General features: G+C 33.4%; 1 protein-coding gene across 18 annotated transcripts in view; it reads right to left on the bottom strand.

The window, feature by feature from the left end:
• Window positions 1–17,141, bottom strand: part of ROBO1 (roundabout guidance receptor 1) — a 1,170,760-nt gene that overhangs the window by 135,759 nt on the left and 1,017,860 nt on the right. For all 18 annotated transcript variants that reach the window (XM_017006982.2, XM_047448664.1, XM_047448661.1 and 15 more), the window contains one exon: window positions 13,746–13,903. In XM_017006982.2, the coding sequence (XP_016862471.1) occupies window positions 13,746–13,903 (158 nt within the window). The remainder of the gene's footprint in view (window positions 1–13,745; window positions 13,904–17,141) is intronic.

Genomic DNA, 17,141 nt, shown 5'->3' on the forward strand with positions numbered 1-17,141 from the left:
TATCAAATTCTTTGGTTTTAAGGAGATAAAAACTGAAGTGGTCAGATGTTACCAAGAGCTGTTTGGTTAAAGCAACTAACCTTTAAACAAAAGAATTGCAGAATCAGCATTTGATTGAGGAGATATTAGCCTCACCATAAAACTTAGAATTATTCTTTGAGAGACAATATTTAAATAAAAGTGATAATGTGGGCAAGATGAAGAAATAATGTTAATCTTCACCAATTGCAAGTAATGAAAAGGAAATCTCAATCCCCTGTAAAGTGATCAGATTAAAAATAATTGAAAACTAAAAGCCTTAAGAAAATTTCTTTGATTTCTGCATTTTGGACTCTGTTTTAAGGAAAGGCTATTGTTTACAATATCTTGTAAAATCAAATGCCCTTTTGAATGTACTATTTGTTTTTTTTTAAAGATTACAATTCATTTTGCTTGATGTCCACAGAAAGAAAAAAATGCCGTCCATACTATCATAAGCAATCAGAACGATTACAAGCAATTAGAAAAGTAAACTTTTTAAAAATAGGGAATTACTAAAAAGTATTGATATTTAAATATTTTTTCCAAATTAAAGATAAAATGTATAAACAATTCTTTGAGATAAATTCTAAAACTATATTTTAGAGAAATATTTCATCTGATTAATGGAACATTGAGAATTAAATAAACTATTTAGGACATCATCCATGAACCCACAAAAGATTGTGCCTTTAATTTGGCAAACTACTTTAACCTATAATTAAACAAAGTGCTCCCTGACAGTAGTAACATCCCACTAGTCCTTGGCTATTGGGAGAAATTTAATGGCCTGATCAGATATATCAAAGTGCCTGGAAACTGAAGAAACTCTAGCTGCTTGTGTAAGCATATATTTTAAGAAAAAAGTAAGAGAAGAAACAACATTTGCATGTCTGCTTTCTATGCTGGGGTGGCAACCTAATCCAAAATTCCTATTGCAGGTTTGTTATTTGACCATGTGTGTTCATTTTGTATCATTTTAATACAGCACTTCTGCTTAATATACTGTATTATTTTGAATTATGAAGTACAACTTTCTTTTTGGCTGATTACTCCAATTTCTGAGACACTTTCTGCTTTCTGGAAGGTCTATTTTGACTAATAGATCATGGATGCTAACTAGCAGCATGCAACCATATCAGGTTTCATCTCAGTGATTTTCAAGAGTTGGCGGAATTCCATGTGGAAGGCAGCATAGGCATACTTGGTGAGGCAGTCCTCTATGTCATCTAATGTTACTTTGACTGAAACTAACATGTGAGTGGAACTAACTTTTGGAAAAGTATGCAAAACTGTTTTGGGTCTGAGTGTGGTGACTCATGCCTATAATCCCAGCCCTACAGAAGACCAACCTTGGCAACATGGTGAGACCCCACCGCCACAAAAAAAAAAAAAAAATAGCTGGATATGGTTGCACATACTGTAGTCCCAGCTACTCACATGGCTGAAGTGGGATGATCACCTGAGCCCAGGAGATTGAGGCTGCAGTGAGCCATGTTCACACCACAGCACTCCAGCCTGGACGACAGAGAGATACCCTGTCTCAAACAAACAAATAAAACCAAAAGACTTGTTTTTTGGGAAATCCATTTGGGGGAAAAAAAAAAAAAAACCTCCAGAATCATCTCAGGAGATTTAAGAGAATACTAACAAACAGTTTGCAACAGTCAAAGTAGGATAGCATGTCAACATGGCATGATATCAAAACTGAGGACTTTAATTCATATATAAGTTCATTATAGTACTTAGATGAAACTTGAAAATATATAGTATATTGTTTCCCAAAAGCACCAGAGATTATTTGTTGAACTAGAAAATATTTTGTCTGGCAATCTTTGGTCTCTACTACCTTACCTCTGCATCTAAACACACTGCACCCCGACTATGGTCCTGGAGTCAGTTTACGTAAAGATATAAGCACTTTATAAGGAATTAAAATTATGTCTCAAAGGACCTGGACAAAAATGGGCATGCAGATTATACATTATAAAGCCCATAAAGGTATATATCTTACACATTGAGACTTATATATTGATGTAAACCTATACATTGATCAAAACAGGATATACTACAGTTTTACAAGTGTTTGGTTTTTTGATCCACGAAATATCTCATTCAAAAGGTTTGCTTTAATTTCTGAAGTTAAATATCTTTCACCTCTCCAAGTTATTAAATTCAGTGTAGAATGAACATGAACTGAAAATCAAGACAGGAGAACTTAAAATAACGCTTTATAATGAGGCTGTTATCAACAGTCCTCAAAATACTTTTGACTACTGTGGTTTGATTCTCATAAGGATCCTAATAAACAGGCAAAGAAGATATCATTATCTGAATATTTTCAACAATTGACCAGACTTGACCAAGGTCTGGTTGTTAGGGCAGTTTCAAAAATGTGCTTTGGACATAACAGACCTTTCCCAAGATGGTCATAGATTAAGCTTAACTTACTATTTAAATTGCTGCAATTTATTTTCTTTTTTGAATGAGATTGTGTGACAACCTCCAATATTCAGTCATTTAAGATGAATTTCTATATGTTCGTAATAACATGCAGAATGTACAAAATAATTAAATCAACATAAGGCCATCCCCATACCTAACGGATAAATAAGCAGGGAAATTTATTAAACCCTATATATTTAAAATACTATTTTCAATGCTGTTACCAAGATAGGAAATACTAAATTTAGAACACAAAACAAATGGAAAAATTATATGAAATAAATCCATGAAAACCCTTTGTTGTTGAGTTTTTTGTTAAGATATATCGTAATCAAATTTAAGTGTCATTTTAGATGGGTTGATCAGATCTAGTCTGTCAGGGGAAAAATCCCAGGAAGAACTCTTACGATGGGAGACTCCACACTAATCCATTATGTGACTCAGCGTAAACCAACGGGCTTGGCATCTATTTCTCCCTGAAAACGAAGGACCTTGCCTATTCACAATCTCTCAACTCAGCTCCATCTCTAAGATTCTATATCAGTATGTCACACTTATAGCAATGTATTTACTCACATAATTAACTTGTGTAGTATCTCCTATTTTTAAGCCAAAAAAAATCATGTTTTAGAAAAAAGAAATGGTGTGGATGATACTCTCTTCCCATTTTGTCGGAGAGTAAGATAAGAAATACGTAATTGTATGTGGAAATAAAATTAACAAAATCATATATATTCAAATTAGCAACTTTTCATTCCTGAGTACCCTAAAAGACTAAATTTCTGACTTATATTTCATTCATTTAACACTTTTTCGAACACATGAGCTTCGAACATAAGACAGACATGAGGAATACAGGTGGACTTTCATATGTTTTATGTGTATTAGATAAGTAATATATAAATCATAATTTAGAATAGATTATAAGAGAAGTACTTGGTAAAAGGAAAACAAACAGATAACAGGAAGAAGAAATCTAGTGTGGGTATTTGGGTGGGATTTTGCTGATGGCTCCTCTGAGGAAGTTGTCTTTGAGATCTGAAAAATGAGTGTGTTAGACAAAGTGGGTAGAAGAACAGAACATTACAGATAGAAAACCACATGCCAAGACTCTCATATATCGGTATACCAAGCTGTTGGCATGCAAGCTTTCAAATGCACATGTAACATATGAATAGTGAAAAGACAGAGCAAGAACCCAATGCTCACTGAAATTATCTTTTTAATTGTATTGTCATCTAAACTAATTTGTGTGCCAGAACTGAGAATGCTTTAGTTTACTGCAATCCTTTCAAAAGAGTGCTTGGACTTCACAGGTAGGTGTAAAATGCTTGGCTTTCTTTTTTCTAGTTTCAGGGTCCAAACATGATAAGTGTATGTGTAATTATTTAAATAAAATTGCAAGTGTGTGGAAAGTTTCAGGATGTTCCTTGAGAAGAGAAACCAGCCTTTCTTAACCAGTACTTTGCATCTGAATCACATAATTTCTCAATTCCCCTAAGGATAATACGTAACTAGAACTGTTCTCGATGCATGGGAAAGAAGTTGATTCATTACACATGGTGGGTACCTTTAGGGCATTAGGACAGAATTCTCCTGTGGAATAACCAGTTGATGATAGCATTGCCCAATAAAGGTACACATAGAACTTGAATCAGTTTCTTAATTTCAGTGTTAGTCTAAACACTTTACTTACTCATAATGTTCACCCAAAATACCCCTAGTGATTCTGTGGCAACTGAAAATTCTCACAGTGGTGAATCAGATATAGATAGAAGTACAGGCAGAGGAGATAGAAAGCTGGATCTTCGTTCACATACATTTATATCATCTTCTTGCTTCTTGAAGAAAATTGGAATTGTTATGGCATGAGTAGTTTTGGATTTTCCTTTTCCATCAAGATTTAGATGACTAAATATATTCAGAGTTCAAATAGGTATACTAACAACAATAATAAAGAGAACACCATTACTAATAGGTATTAAGTGTGTCACCATTTACAATGACATTTAACATGCATTTTCTCGCTGAATTCCCTCAACGACACACTGAACTAATCTAGGTATGATTAGACAATTCATTTCACAGATGGAAACAATGAAATGTATAGAGATCAAATGTCTTCCATAAGATCAGGCATTTAATAGGTGTTGAAACCTGAAATTATAATGTGGTCTTATAATGCCCAAGCCTATGCTTTGTTCTACTAATCCCCAGTGTTTCAATTATTAAATATAAAAATTAAGATAGACAGGAAAAATTATTTTTAAGTCATTTATTCAATCCAATGACTGGTACAATAAAGTTGTGTTGACTTACCATATTTAAATCCCAAATAGAAAATTTATTTTGGAAAATAAATAGAATACATAATATGCATTGACACTTTATGTAAGATGAACCCCAAAAAAATCTATTTCAGGTTTACTACTCAGGTTTCCTTTGACCTTCACACAACAGAGCTATGTATTTATTTTGCAGAAACAGAAATTTAACTTCTTAGGGAAAAGGGGCTTTATGACATCAGCTGTATTAAGTATGTTAATTTCCTCTAGGGGAGAGGAGGGGAAGAGGAAGCAAAAGACATTGAACAATGAAAGAAATTGGAAGAGCAGACGAAAGCACTAATCGAAGGAAGGGAGGAGAAGCAGATGGCGTAGGAAGGAGACATGTGGGAATTGGGAGGAAAGGAAGCAATTGGCAAGGAGTGGGCTGAATGCCAAATTTGTGAAGGATCTGAAGGGCACTGGGGATTTGGATGGGATGTGAGTCAGCTGCTTTTTACCAAAATATCACACCAACAATGGAAATCAAAGAAACCTACAAAGACACACAGGAAGCAGAAAAGGACTAGGAAAAGACCTGATGACATACTCCATTCTAATAATTTTACCTCGTCAGCATGGGAATGGGAAGCGTTAAATAGTTATTTTTGGTTTATTGGTTTTGTTTTGTTTTTTACTGCATAACTAAATTGTTCTCCTATCTTCATTATGGATTTTCAAAACTTTAACTTGCTTTTGAAAGAAATGATACAGATAAAACCCTTCTATATATTTTAGCTATTTTTTACTTACCTTATATAAATGTGATTTGTTATTCACTATCACTCATACACAAAACAATTCGTTTAAACCATCTAGGATTACAGTGACCAACTGTCCCCATTTTCCCAGACCTGAGAGATTTCCTGGGAATAGAATTCTCATTTCTAACACCAGGACCATCCTGGGCAAACCAGAATGGTTGGTTTTCCTAGGTAAGGTAAAAATCTTAAGAAAAAACTACTAAATATACTTGTTCATTATGCTAAAGCATACTGATGCTGTAAATTTTTTTTCTACCTTTTGCAAAGAAGAATGGATAAAATCTTAATTCAGCTATGCAATAAGTAGATGAAATGAAAAAAATAGTTACTGATTGGATAACAGCTTTGATGAAAATAAATATCTTACAAACAAATTCTTTCCCCATCATCTAAATTATTTTTTCAATCAAGTAAAAACAGTTGTAGACATAGAGAATATTTGTGGCATGCTACTGTAAGGACAGTAGGAAGAAGAATAAACAACTCAGCATAACTTATCTCAAGGAATAATATAAGTCATTCAAAAATGCTTAAGTCACAAAGGCTCATATCAGCTCAGAATTTGAAGCATGAAAAGATGAGTGTCTTTTAAGCTCTTCTTCTTAATAAAATGAAATAATTCGGGATAAATGATCGACAAAGGTTATCATGAAGAAAATATTTTTGAAATTTCAGAATTGAGTCTAGGCAGAGCTTAATATTTATACTGTGTTGCTAATGTGTTAGTTTTTACTGTATTTTATTATATCTATACAAAATTCCCCAGTCACTACATTAATAATATTTTACTTAACTCAATTTTTCATTTGTTATATAATATCTCATAATTGCTTACTTTTTTCAACAATAACTTTTGAAATGTGTGCAGCTAATGATATTAGAACCTGGCTAACTCACAATTTGGACTGATAACTACAAAGCATATTCAGTTGAATAACTTACTGATTTATAATATCCTTTTCAACATAAATCCTTCTTTTCCTAAGTGGCAAATGATGACAGTTAATTGTTTTCTTTAGATAACCTCTACTATCTTTTTAGGTAAGACTTCTAGTCTTCAGAATAAATAATTTTAGGTTGTCTGAGCTATAATATTTGGCCAAATTTGACCATTTCTGTGTCATCTTTTAAAAAACTACTCAATTTTTCAAATTTAAAAACCTTTGTTATGTTATAGATTTCAATACTGAACATAATATGGACTAGTTCTTGAACATGCCAAACCCCGGTTTCAAGACCACCACAACTTCCATTCTGTGAACTAATCTCTCCAAATCATTGAACATTAAAAACAGTACTTCATAATGGAAACTAAGAGATACTGTCATCCTGAGTCAAAATTTGCACTGATAGCATAGCAGAGTTGTTATATATGTTGCAGAATCTATAGGACCCTATAAAAAATGTTATGAGTCAAAAAAATGCAAGTGCCCCCTTGGTTGCCCTCTCTTCCCTAACCAGCCAATTTAGATGTAGTGACTGCATTAGCAGAATTTTTAGTATGTAACTGACAAGATTGTTGGCAGGATTAAATGGGTGAATATACATAAAGTGCTTGTAATAGGACCTGGCACACAGCAAGTGCTATAATAAGTGCTTACTATTATCATCATCATCATCATCTCCTTCTTCTTCACCTTCTTCATAAGACTAAATTGACAAGTATAAGTGTACCCTAATGTAAAGAAAATAGCTTAGGCACTGTGTTTTCAAGTGGATAAAATGAGATGATATAAAACATATAATACATAGCAAGTTCTTAATATGCAATAGCTATTGTTATTATTCTCTCTAAAAATTGACATTTATTTAAATTTAATAAAATAAAATTTAAATAAATTTAAATAATTTTTATTTAAAATTTTTCAGATTAAAAAGCAACTTATTTCTTATTTTTCTTTTTTTCTTTCTTTCTTTCTTTCTTTCTTTCTTTTTTTTTTGAAACAGGGTTTCACTCTTGTTGCCCAGGCTGGAGTGCAATGGCGCGACCTCGGCTCACTGCAACCTCTGCCTCCCAGGTTCAAGCGACTGTCCTGTCTCAGACTCCCGAGTAGCTGGGATTACAGGCATGCACCATGACGCCTGGCTAGTTTTTTTGTATTTTGAGTAGAGACGGGGTTTCTCCCTGTTGGTCAGGCTGGTCTTGAACTCTGACCTCAGGTGATCTGCCTGCCTTGGCCTCCCAAAGAGCTGGGATTACATGCATGAGCCACCGCGCCTGGCAAAAGGAACTTTTTTCAATTGACTTTCATGACACACTTATGCAGAAGAGCTAAATACAAGGCCTTAAATCCTAACTTGCAACATTCAATAAACATATCATATATACTATGAACAGATATTGAAAATATACTATTGTTTCTGTAAATATTCATTTACTAATCTAAAACAAAAGGTTTAATTACTACTTGTCAATTAGCAGATCTCATATAAATACACAAAAGTATCATTTTCTGTTAGTATAATGGTATTGATTTATGATCTTATTTTTAACATATATTAAGATAAACTATACAGTTGCTCTTGTCTCATCAGTTATCACCTAGGTACTATTAAATACCTTAATATTTTATTTCATAAGCACATTTGTTTTTATGCTTGTAATAGTCAATTAAATAAATTTTATTTATAAGCCATCCTCCATAAGAGATCAGCAATTTCATCTCTATGCCTGCAATTCCTGCAGCTACCACCAGGTTCATTTTATAGAAATCCAATACAAAGTATGAGAAATTGATGCCTGGAACTTGGTGCAATTGTCTGTGACCCAAAGAAACTGTGCTAATTTATAACAAACTTACTTTTTTGCTGAGATAAAAATATTAAAATTGTCTAAGAAAACAAACATAGAATAAGTGGCAAATTTTAAAACAAACAAACTAGGAAAATATTTGTGATGTCTACTTTAAATGTTTTAACTTTTTCCTTAATGAGGAAGGCAATTTTAGTTTTTAGATTGAACAAAATAATTATTTTTTCAATACTTGGTGTTAACTTTTTCCCAATCTTAGTATTTTCTTTTTTCCACCCTAATAAAGTATCTTGAACTTAAATGCAATATTTCTAAAAAGTAGTGAAATTTTTAAAAATCGCTCTTTGTGAGGTATTTTCAAAGACATCCAAAAGAACACTTTAGTCCTCCGATTCATCTGTATAAGAAAATTTCATTTATTAACAATGATGGATATGATTAAGTCTCAAACACATGAAGTAAATCAATTTAATCTAGCCTACCAGTTAAACTACTTTTATTTCTGACTCTAAATATAAATACTAATGTCTAGAAAAGAAAGAACACTAGAGACAAACATCATTTAAGGCCTCTTTCAAATGATTCTAAGAAATATGTGCCAAAAAAGTTCTAAAAGACTCTCCTATCATGTAAGAGAATAAGAAAATGTTATTTATATATTCCTGGTTTATAATCATCCAGGATCTAAAATTTGGCTCAGAATCCAGGTCAATGTAAGAAGAAATGAATTAAGAACTTAAAAAAAATACAGGTGCAGCTATAATTCAACTACATATTTCCCCTTTTTGTAGGGTGTGTCTTTGTTCTCACAGCTGGGAGAGGTGTACTTTAAATTTTCAACAAAGAAAGCCACCACATTAAAGAACTCTAGAAATTCCTATAACCAAAACTGTAGCAATAAGCATGCAATCTTCAATTGTCTTTCATAACGATATTATGTGCTTTAATCTTCTGTTCATCTGCACTCAGCACATTTGGCAAAGTACATTAACAACAGAGATGAAAACACTCATTTGAATACAAAGCTTAGGAAAGAAGAATCACGTACAATGACTAATAACCAACATGTTTTAAGAATTTATTTTCACTATTAAAAAAAAAACTGGAAATAATGTCATGTATTCTGTTTATGTTCTAAGTTTTTGTTTTAATTATTCAATTTCAGTTTTGCCTAAAGGAAGAAAATAAAACAAAAACAATTATGATCTACATAAGATCAGTGATTTTGAACCCAAACTGCTGATTTTTAATGTATTCCTTTTCCCAAATGTATAAATGTGCTTTTTACCTCCAGTGTTTTATCAGTTCCACAGTCATAATTTATACAAAACACACAGATGGTCTTAGAAATAGTAAAAGTTTCAGATGTTACAACTTCCTAGCATATGGAACACCATCATGGATCATCATTTTGGCAGCATGTAAATGATTTAAAAGTTATTTATATATTAACATCTTGGCATCATTTCATAGTCATAGGTTTTTACAACTTTAAACTGTTTGATTCCTTGTTGTAGGTGGTTCTTACATTGACTAGAAGCTACTGATGGCGTGGGGGAACTGGTGCTCTTTAATTAGAGGACAGCATCCCCTTAGACAGCAAAAGTAAATGAAGATTCTATAATAAATTACATATTTTGGCATAAGCAATAAAATGTCATCTAGTTCACTATATGATACATCAGGGAGTTCCAAGAATTTTTAAAAATCAAATTTATTATAGTGATTTTAAATGGTGAATGTCACAAAAAATTAACACATACACAAGCATACACACAAAATATAACCTTTAAAATTAACTGAGATCTTTCAAAACGCAAGACTACAATCACCATTATTTTTTATCTAGTGTATGGAACATGACATTAAAAAGAGTCGTCTATGCTCTGTGTCTAGTTTTGATCTTTCCAGTCTGTCTTGAACTGTTCAGTGAGGTCTGAACCCCCACCCCTCCCCTGAAACGGCTCTTGTCAAGGTCATTTATGACTGCTTACCAAGTTGTTAAATCCAGTGGTGAATTCTTAATCCTCATCATTACTCCATCTACCAGCTGTAATTGACTCAGTCACCGACACCTCCTTCAAATCGTCTTTACTTGGCGGCCCTTCTAACTCTCCTCCTTTCTCAGTGACTGCTCCCTCTCAGTTTCCACTGCCCTTTCTGCCTCTTCTCCATGAGAACTAAGCATTGAACCGCTTTGCCTTTCTATCTGCAATCATTCCCTTGGTGATTGCAGTCTCCTGTTTTAAATAACACGTAAGAACTGATGACTCCTATATTCATCAGGATATGCTATGCTATATGTGCTAAAAAAATCCTCAGTGACTTAATCAACAAAGATTTATTTCTCATTCATTTTACATGTCCATCTTGAGACGACAGGTGTGGGGTAGAAAGTTCTACACATAACTCAGGGGCTCAGGCTCTCAGGGTGTCTTCCACGTTGCAGTTGCACTACCTAAATAAGACAAGTAGCTTCCTTGGTTGCAGAGTGGTAAAGAGAGTACTGGAGTATTTAAACCACTAGTATTTAATTTCTTTAATTGTCACTCACAACCCATGAAGCTGAAAAAGTCAAACAGGTCTGCCGGACAGCAAAAAAGCTGGGAAGTAGAGTGTTTCATCCGCCAGAAGGACGGGAGAACTGCATAGTAATGAGTACTTGTATGCCTACCACGATGTAATTTTTTCTCCAACCTTAACCTCAATTCTGAATTTCTGACTCATGTATCCAACTGCCTATTTGACAATTATACTTGGATATCCAATAAGCATTTCAAAATTACCATGTCTAAAACTAAGCTCCTGATACTTCCCATCCCAAATCTTCCCCTATAATCTATGGCATCTCAGTTAATGGCATCTATACCATTTCAGTTGAGCAGGCCAATTAATTAGGAGGTCCTTGACTTTTCCCTTTTGCTCACAAACACATCCAGTCTGTTAGCAAATTCTGTTGGCTATTGCTTTGTAGTATATTCAGAATCTAGCCACTCCTCACTACCTTCCCATCCTAACAGCCTGGTTCAAACCACCATTTGTCTCTTACCCAGATTACCCTGAGAGCTCTTAGTGGTTCTCCCTGCCTCTACCATTGCCACGTTTCAGTGTGTTCTCAAGAGAGCAGAGGCTTCCCACCTTACTTAGAAGAAAAGCCAAACTATCTACAACACCTGTAAGAGCCTACGCAGTTGGACAATTATTAAATTCATAGCCTTTTTAAAAAGGCTACCCCCTGATTGTATCTCCTATAAATCTTTACTCATTCTGTTCAACCAACACTGATTTTTTACTCTCTAGTGAATGCGTTAGGTATACCCCACCTTAGGGTTTTTCTATTTAATATTTTATCTGCCTAGAATACCCTTTTTCCAGACACTTGTATAGTTGATTCCATCAATTTTTTGAGGTTTTTATGTGAGGCATTCTCTCTAATCAGCCTATTTAAAATTTCAATCCCACCTGAACCCTAATGAATTCATCTACCTCTTCACTATTTTTAATAGGACTTACTAGAGTTTAACTTACTGTATGTTACACTTATTTATTTTGGTTTTTGTCTGTATACTCTTTCTCTATTTTTATAGGATTTATTATAGTTTAATTTACTGTATATTACACTTATTTATTTTGGTTTTGTCTGTATACGCACTCATAAAATGTAAGCTCCAGCAGAACACTCACTGAGTTTTGATCAAGTTGCATCTCCAGGGCTAAGAATTTTGTTGGCCGGGCGTGGTGGCTCATGCCTGTAATCCCAGCATTTTGGGAGGTCAAGGCAGGCATATCATGAGGTCAGAAGATCGAGACCATCCTGGCCAACACGGTGAAACCTCATCTCTACTAAAAATACAAAAATTAGCTGGGTGTGGTGGTGCATGCCTGTAATCCCAGCTACTTAGGAGGCTGAGGCAGGAGAATCGCTTGAACCCAGGAGGCAGAGGTTTCAGTGAGCCGAGATCGTGCCACTGCACTCCAGCCTGGTGACAGAGCAAGACTCCATTTCAAAAAAAAAAAAAAAAAAAGATTTTTGTCACTAACTTATATTAAACATGAATAGGTTATCAGGAAAGGCATGAGGGAAAGTCAGGGATGATAATGGTTTTAATGTGTTTGAATAAGTAAGGAAGGGAAAGAGGAATTATAGATAATGGTCATTAAATGATCTAGAATATATTTTTAAGGGCAAAGTATTCTTACCTTCATTGTACATGAATCCAAAAGGAATCTGTTATCACTAACAAGAAAAGCATTTGTTTCTTCGCTCTATTTCTCCCATGCTCTTTCTTGACTTCATTTCCAAAAACCAATGTTTCCCCATACAGTTACTTTTGTCATGTGACTCTGCAGCACCTCTTATGAGCAGAACCATGTCATCCTCACACCAATCCCAAGAATTACAGAAATCCTTTGGGAGACTCATTCTAATTCAGATTTACATGAAAATAAAATGCTTAATTTTCTTTCAAGGTCTCTAACACCTGGTCTAACACAACCTTCTCTACTTTTCTCACTATTAATTTTTTCCAAGCTAATCTACTAACCAGGTGCTGAGAAACAGTGCAACTACTAATTAGGTTGTGCGGTCTACATTATAACTTTGCTCTTGTACATCTTCAGCAGTGACCTTTTCCTCACACATACATTCTCCTAGGGAACTTTAAATCTTGACCAGCGAATTCACAATGGACAGATATCAGTGCATGCTGAACAAAGAGAATCGTAAAGGGAAATATTGAGCAACCACAAAATCAATGAGGGCTTGGTGACTGAGGTGCTTTAGCCAACATCTTCCAAGACAAAACAAACAAAGAAGTCATATAGAATCACGGCTGTCAAGAAGAAAACGCATCTTGACTTCATACAAATCACATATAATTTCTTACATCAGAGCAGGAATTTGAAATCCAATAATCTCATCATATGACTTCATTTTATATTGAGATAAATTCATCATTAACCACCTTTCAAAATAAGATTTTATTTTTCAGAAACAATATTGAACACTATAGAACAGAAAAGCACTTTTAAAAATGAGAAAAAAACATAAAAACATCCTGAAGTGGCTTAAGAGGCCTTCTGGAAACATACTAAATAACAGATTTTCTTTAATAAACAGTTTTTACTATAACACATGGAAATTTTATAAGCCCTGAGTTACGACAATAATTAAGTCATACATAAAAGTGTTAACTCTGAGACACTAAAACAGGAATTATAGTTTTTCTTTTACTGATCTCTAAACACCATGAATTTTCCTTACTTACTTTCATGTCAACACAGAAAGAATTGAAATATATATTTTTTAAAAGAAAAGCTGAACATGGGAGCTGACGCAAGCCTTTATTGAAAATAATCTACTTCATTTTTCTCTTTTTTCTTTGGTAAAGATACACACAGTTAGACCAACAAATGTCCTCTGCTGTTGAATTAAATACTCACAGTTATTCTTTCATCTTTATCATCCAGTGGAGAGCCATCTTTCTTCCATGAAATGGTGGGCTCAGGATGGCCTCGTGGAGGTTGGCATTCCATTACTGCAGGCTCTCCTACTGCAACCATGACATCCGAAGGGTTTTGTCTGAAGTCATCCCGAAGTACTGTAGGAACAAGATTAAATCATTATACCCAAAAGTGATAGATACAGTCCTAATCTCTGAACTTCAGCAGGAGACATTTATTATAATTATAATAAACTACCACTAATAGCTCTTGCAATACAGCTTTAAGAATCTATATCTACTTATAGACATCTGCAATTTAATAAAGATATTTGACCTTAAACATACACAGAAGGGATAATTTGATATTCTTCAGAGGCCAGCAGGCGCGTGTATTCCGCTGCTTAGTGCCCTCACAGTTAGTATTTGGCTCATCTTTAACTTGCATTTCTTTTCTGCCTGCTGCCTACATTTTTCTCAGCCATGTGCTAACCAATATAACTGAATCCTCCTTTTATCTATATGATGCCACAGGATAATGCTTTCTATAATTAAATGAATTACATATACATGCAAAGCTAAATATTAAAAGAAAAAAATAAGATACTTCTAAGCATGAATTTAATTGAGCAATATTTTATAAATATATAAAATTAATGTATAAGGTTATATAATCATCATAATTTAAATATGCTCAATATAAAAACTTTAGACATATCTACAAAGCCATTACATTGAAACTCATTGTGTTTTTCCATGATTACTGAGACTGTTAGAAGGCACCAATATGGATAACAGCAGTGCTACCAACAGCATCACTTTTATGTTCTATGTTTTTGTTGTTTTTTTGTGTATACTATCTCATTAAATCCTTAACCTATTCAGAATGAGAGATATTATTAATTCTAATTGTACTACTAACATTAGTCCCATACTGTGGAGGAAGAAACAATTCACTATTGTAATTTCAACTGGATACTAATATAATATTAACATACTGTAAAACAAGCAGTATTTTGTAACTGTTAGAATTAAATGTGGAAAAGAAACCAAATACATATTCCAAAAATAGCTCATACAGTAAAATTGTCCCCAGTATCTTGATAACATCAAGAAATCATGAATTATGTGGCATGTTAGTCTTAAATACAACTCTGTTGTATACTAGACATGCAATCTTGAACATAACTATTTAATACTTTTGCTTCCCTTTTCACAAAAGAGGGATGAACATATATATACTTCAGTACAAAGTCCAATAGTTATCATTCCTCCACCCTGCTTTCCTTGATCTGATGTGTAGTAGAATGTGAACCATTTTGGTAACCTAATTTAACATGGTACTGAAAATGTTTATTAGTATGTTAAGTGCACAGATTTGGATTGATAAATGTTATTTATCTTTTAAAACCTATTGAATTGGGCTGGGTGTGGTGGCTTACGCCTATAATCCCAGCACTTTGGGAGGCCAAGGAGGGCGGATTACCTGAGGTCAGGAGTTTGAGACCAGCCTGACCAACATGGAGAAACCCTGTCTCTACTAAAAATACAAAATTAGCCAGGCACAGTGATGCATGCCTGTAATCCCAGCTACTCCGGAGGCTGAGGCAGGAGAATTGCTAGAACCCAGGAGGTGGCGGTTGTGGTGAGCTGAGATCGTGCCATTGCACGCCAGCCTCTGTCTCAAATAAATAAATAAATAAATAAATAAATAAATAAATAAATAAATAAATCCTATTGAATTTTTAAAAGAATATTTGAATTTAATATTTATTACTATAATTTTGTACTGGAATGGACGTCTTTCCATTCCACTGGCATTTAAAAGTGCTTTCATGGATGAAGTACTACAGTGTAAAAAACTTATGCTCAAGCTGTTCTTTCAAAAATCACTCTTAAACTTTTTTTCAAAACCTCAAACCAGTTTAAATTTTTTCCTTCCTCAATTCCAACCAACTAGATGTATCCATTCGAGTAAGTTATCACATCCATGAAAAAAATCCCCATTTTCTAATCTGAATATTAAGACAACTTGGGCACGGCATGACTATGTTAATATTTGGAAACTACTGCTTCAAAGAGAAGACCTTCTTTCTTATCTTTGGAAAGAACAGTAAAAGGAAAAGCAAAATAAATCTGATCTCGCCAAACTGTTTAAATTCTAACTTCAATACTATTCAGTATTAATAAAATATATAGACACAAAGGTAAACCTTGTTAAACTGAAAACTCCAGCTACTGTTACCACATAATAAAAGAACAGAGTATAAAGACTTTCACTATTTATAAACTTATATTATTATTAGGTGTTAAGAATGTAACACAAATAAAATATAAGGCCTGCAGAAAAAGCAAATGGATTGACCTTGACAGGCAGTATGTGCCTTTGCTGGATCACATTATTAATCAATGATAACATCTCTGAAAAGGTTAACACCTTTGAAACACCCAAAAGTAAAATACTTTTCAAATAAAAGTAAACAATATGCACAATTTTTCTCTGTGGCAACCTTAAAACCAATTTGGTAATGCTATATCTTATTTACAAGCTGAATCATTTCTCAAACCAATGAATAATAAAATGTCTTGCAGAAATATCAAAGGTCTAAGTCAGATAAATCAAGTTTTTCTTAAATATTTACTATGTTATTTGGCCTTTTATAATATATAATGAAAAACTAACAAAATGTAATCCATTAAAAACTGTTGCTTAGATAATGCTCATATGATTGTTTTTGCAGCTGTAAAGCATAAAACTTCAGTATTGCCCATGACTATGGCAATTCTGCATAAAGTTATGAATTTAATATTTTTCTTCTCTCTTCTAAAACTAATTTTTCTTTCTTATACTTATCCCAAAGATTTCCTTTTGGGGGAAAATAATATGGTGCCACCTTATAAAACTATATGAAACTTTTAGTTAAACTGTCCAGTTTTCAAAATTCATGAGTACACTTAAGTCATCACAATAAAAATGAAATTCAAATGATTTGCAGCATTTTGGCAGAAAAACCAAAAGCATCCATAAGTATTCCCAGATAAATCTTTTGAAAAGCTTCTCCTTTTCTCCTTTAACCATTTCTATTAACCAAAGTATATATACTTTTAATGTTTCTTGATTTGAATCGTATGAAAATTTTAATTTGGAATTGTCAAAAAGGTCTAATACTAATTTGAAAAGAGCAAGTAGCATGCATAGTGTATCCAAGTAGATATCACCTAAAAAGGTATTAAATCAGAGTTCCCACTAAGATTGTAACAATATAATGTTTCTTTCATATTTGTGTAGTTTTATTTTATGTGTATAGTTAGGTACATATAATTTAACTCAACAGCATTTCATTTTTTATTCTATTAAATTAGAGGAAACATACATTTCATTAAATATTTGAATCCT

Source organism: Homo sapiens, chromosome 3 (genome assembly GCF_000001405.40).
Source record: "Homo sapiens chromosome 3, GRCh38.p14 Primary Assembly".
In the NCBI taxonomy this organism is placed as follows: domain Eukaryota; kingdom Metazoa; phylum Chordata; class Mammalia; order Primates; family Hominidae; genus Homo; species Homo sapiens.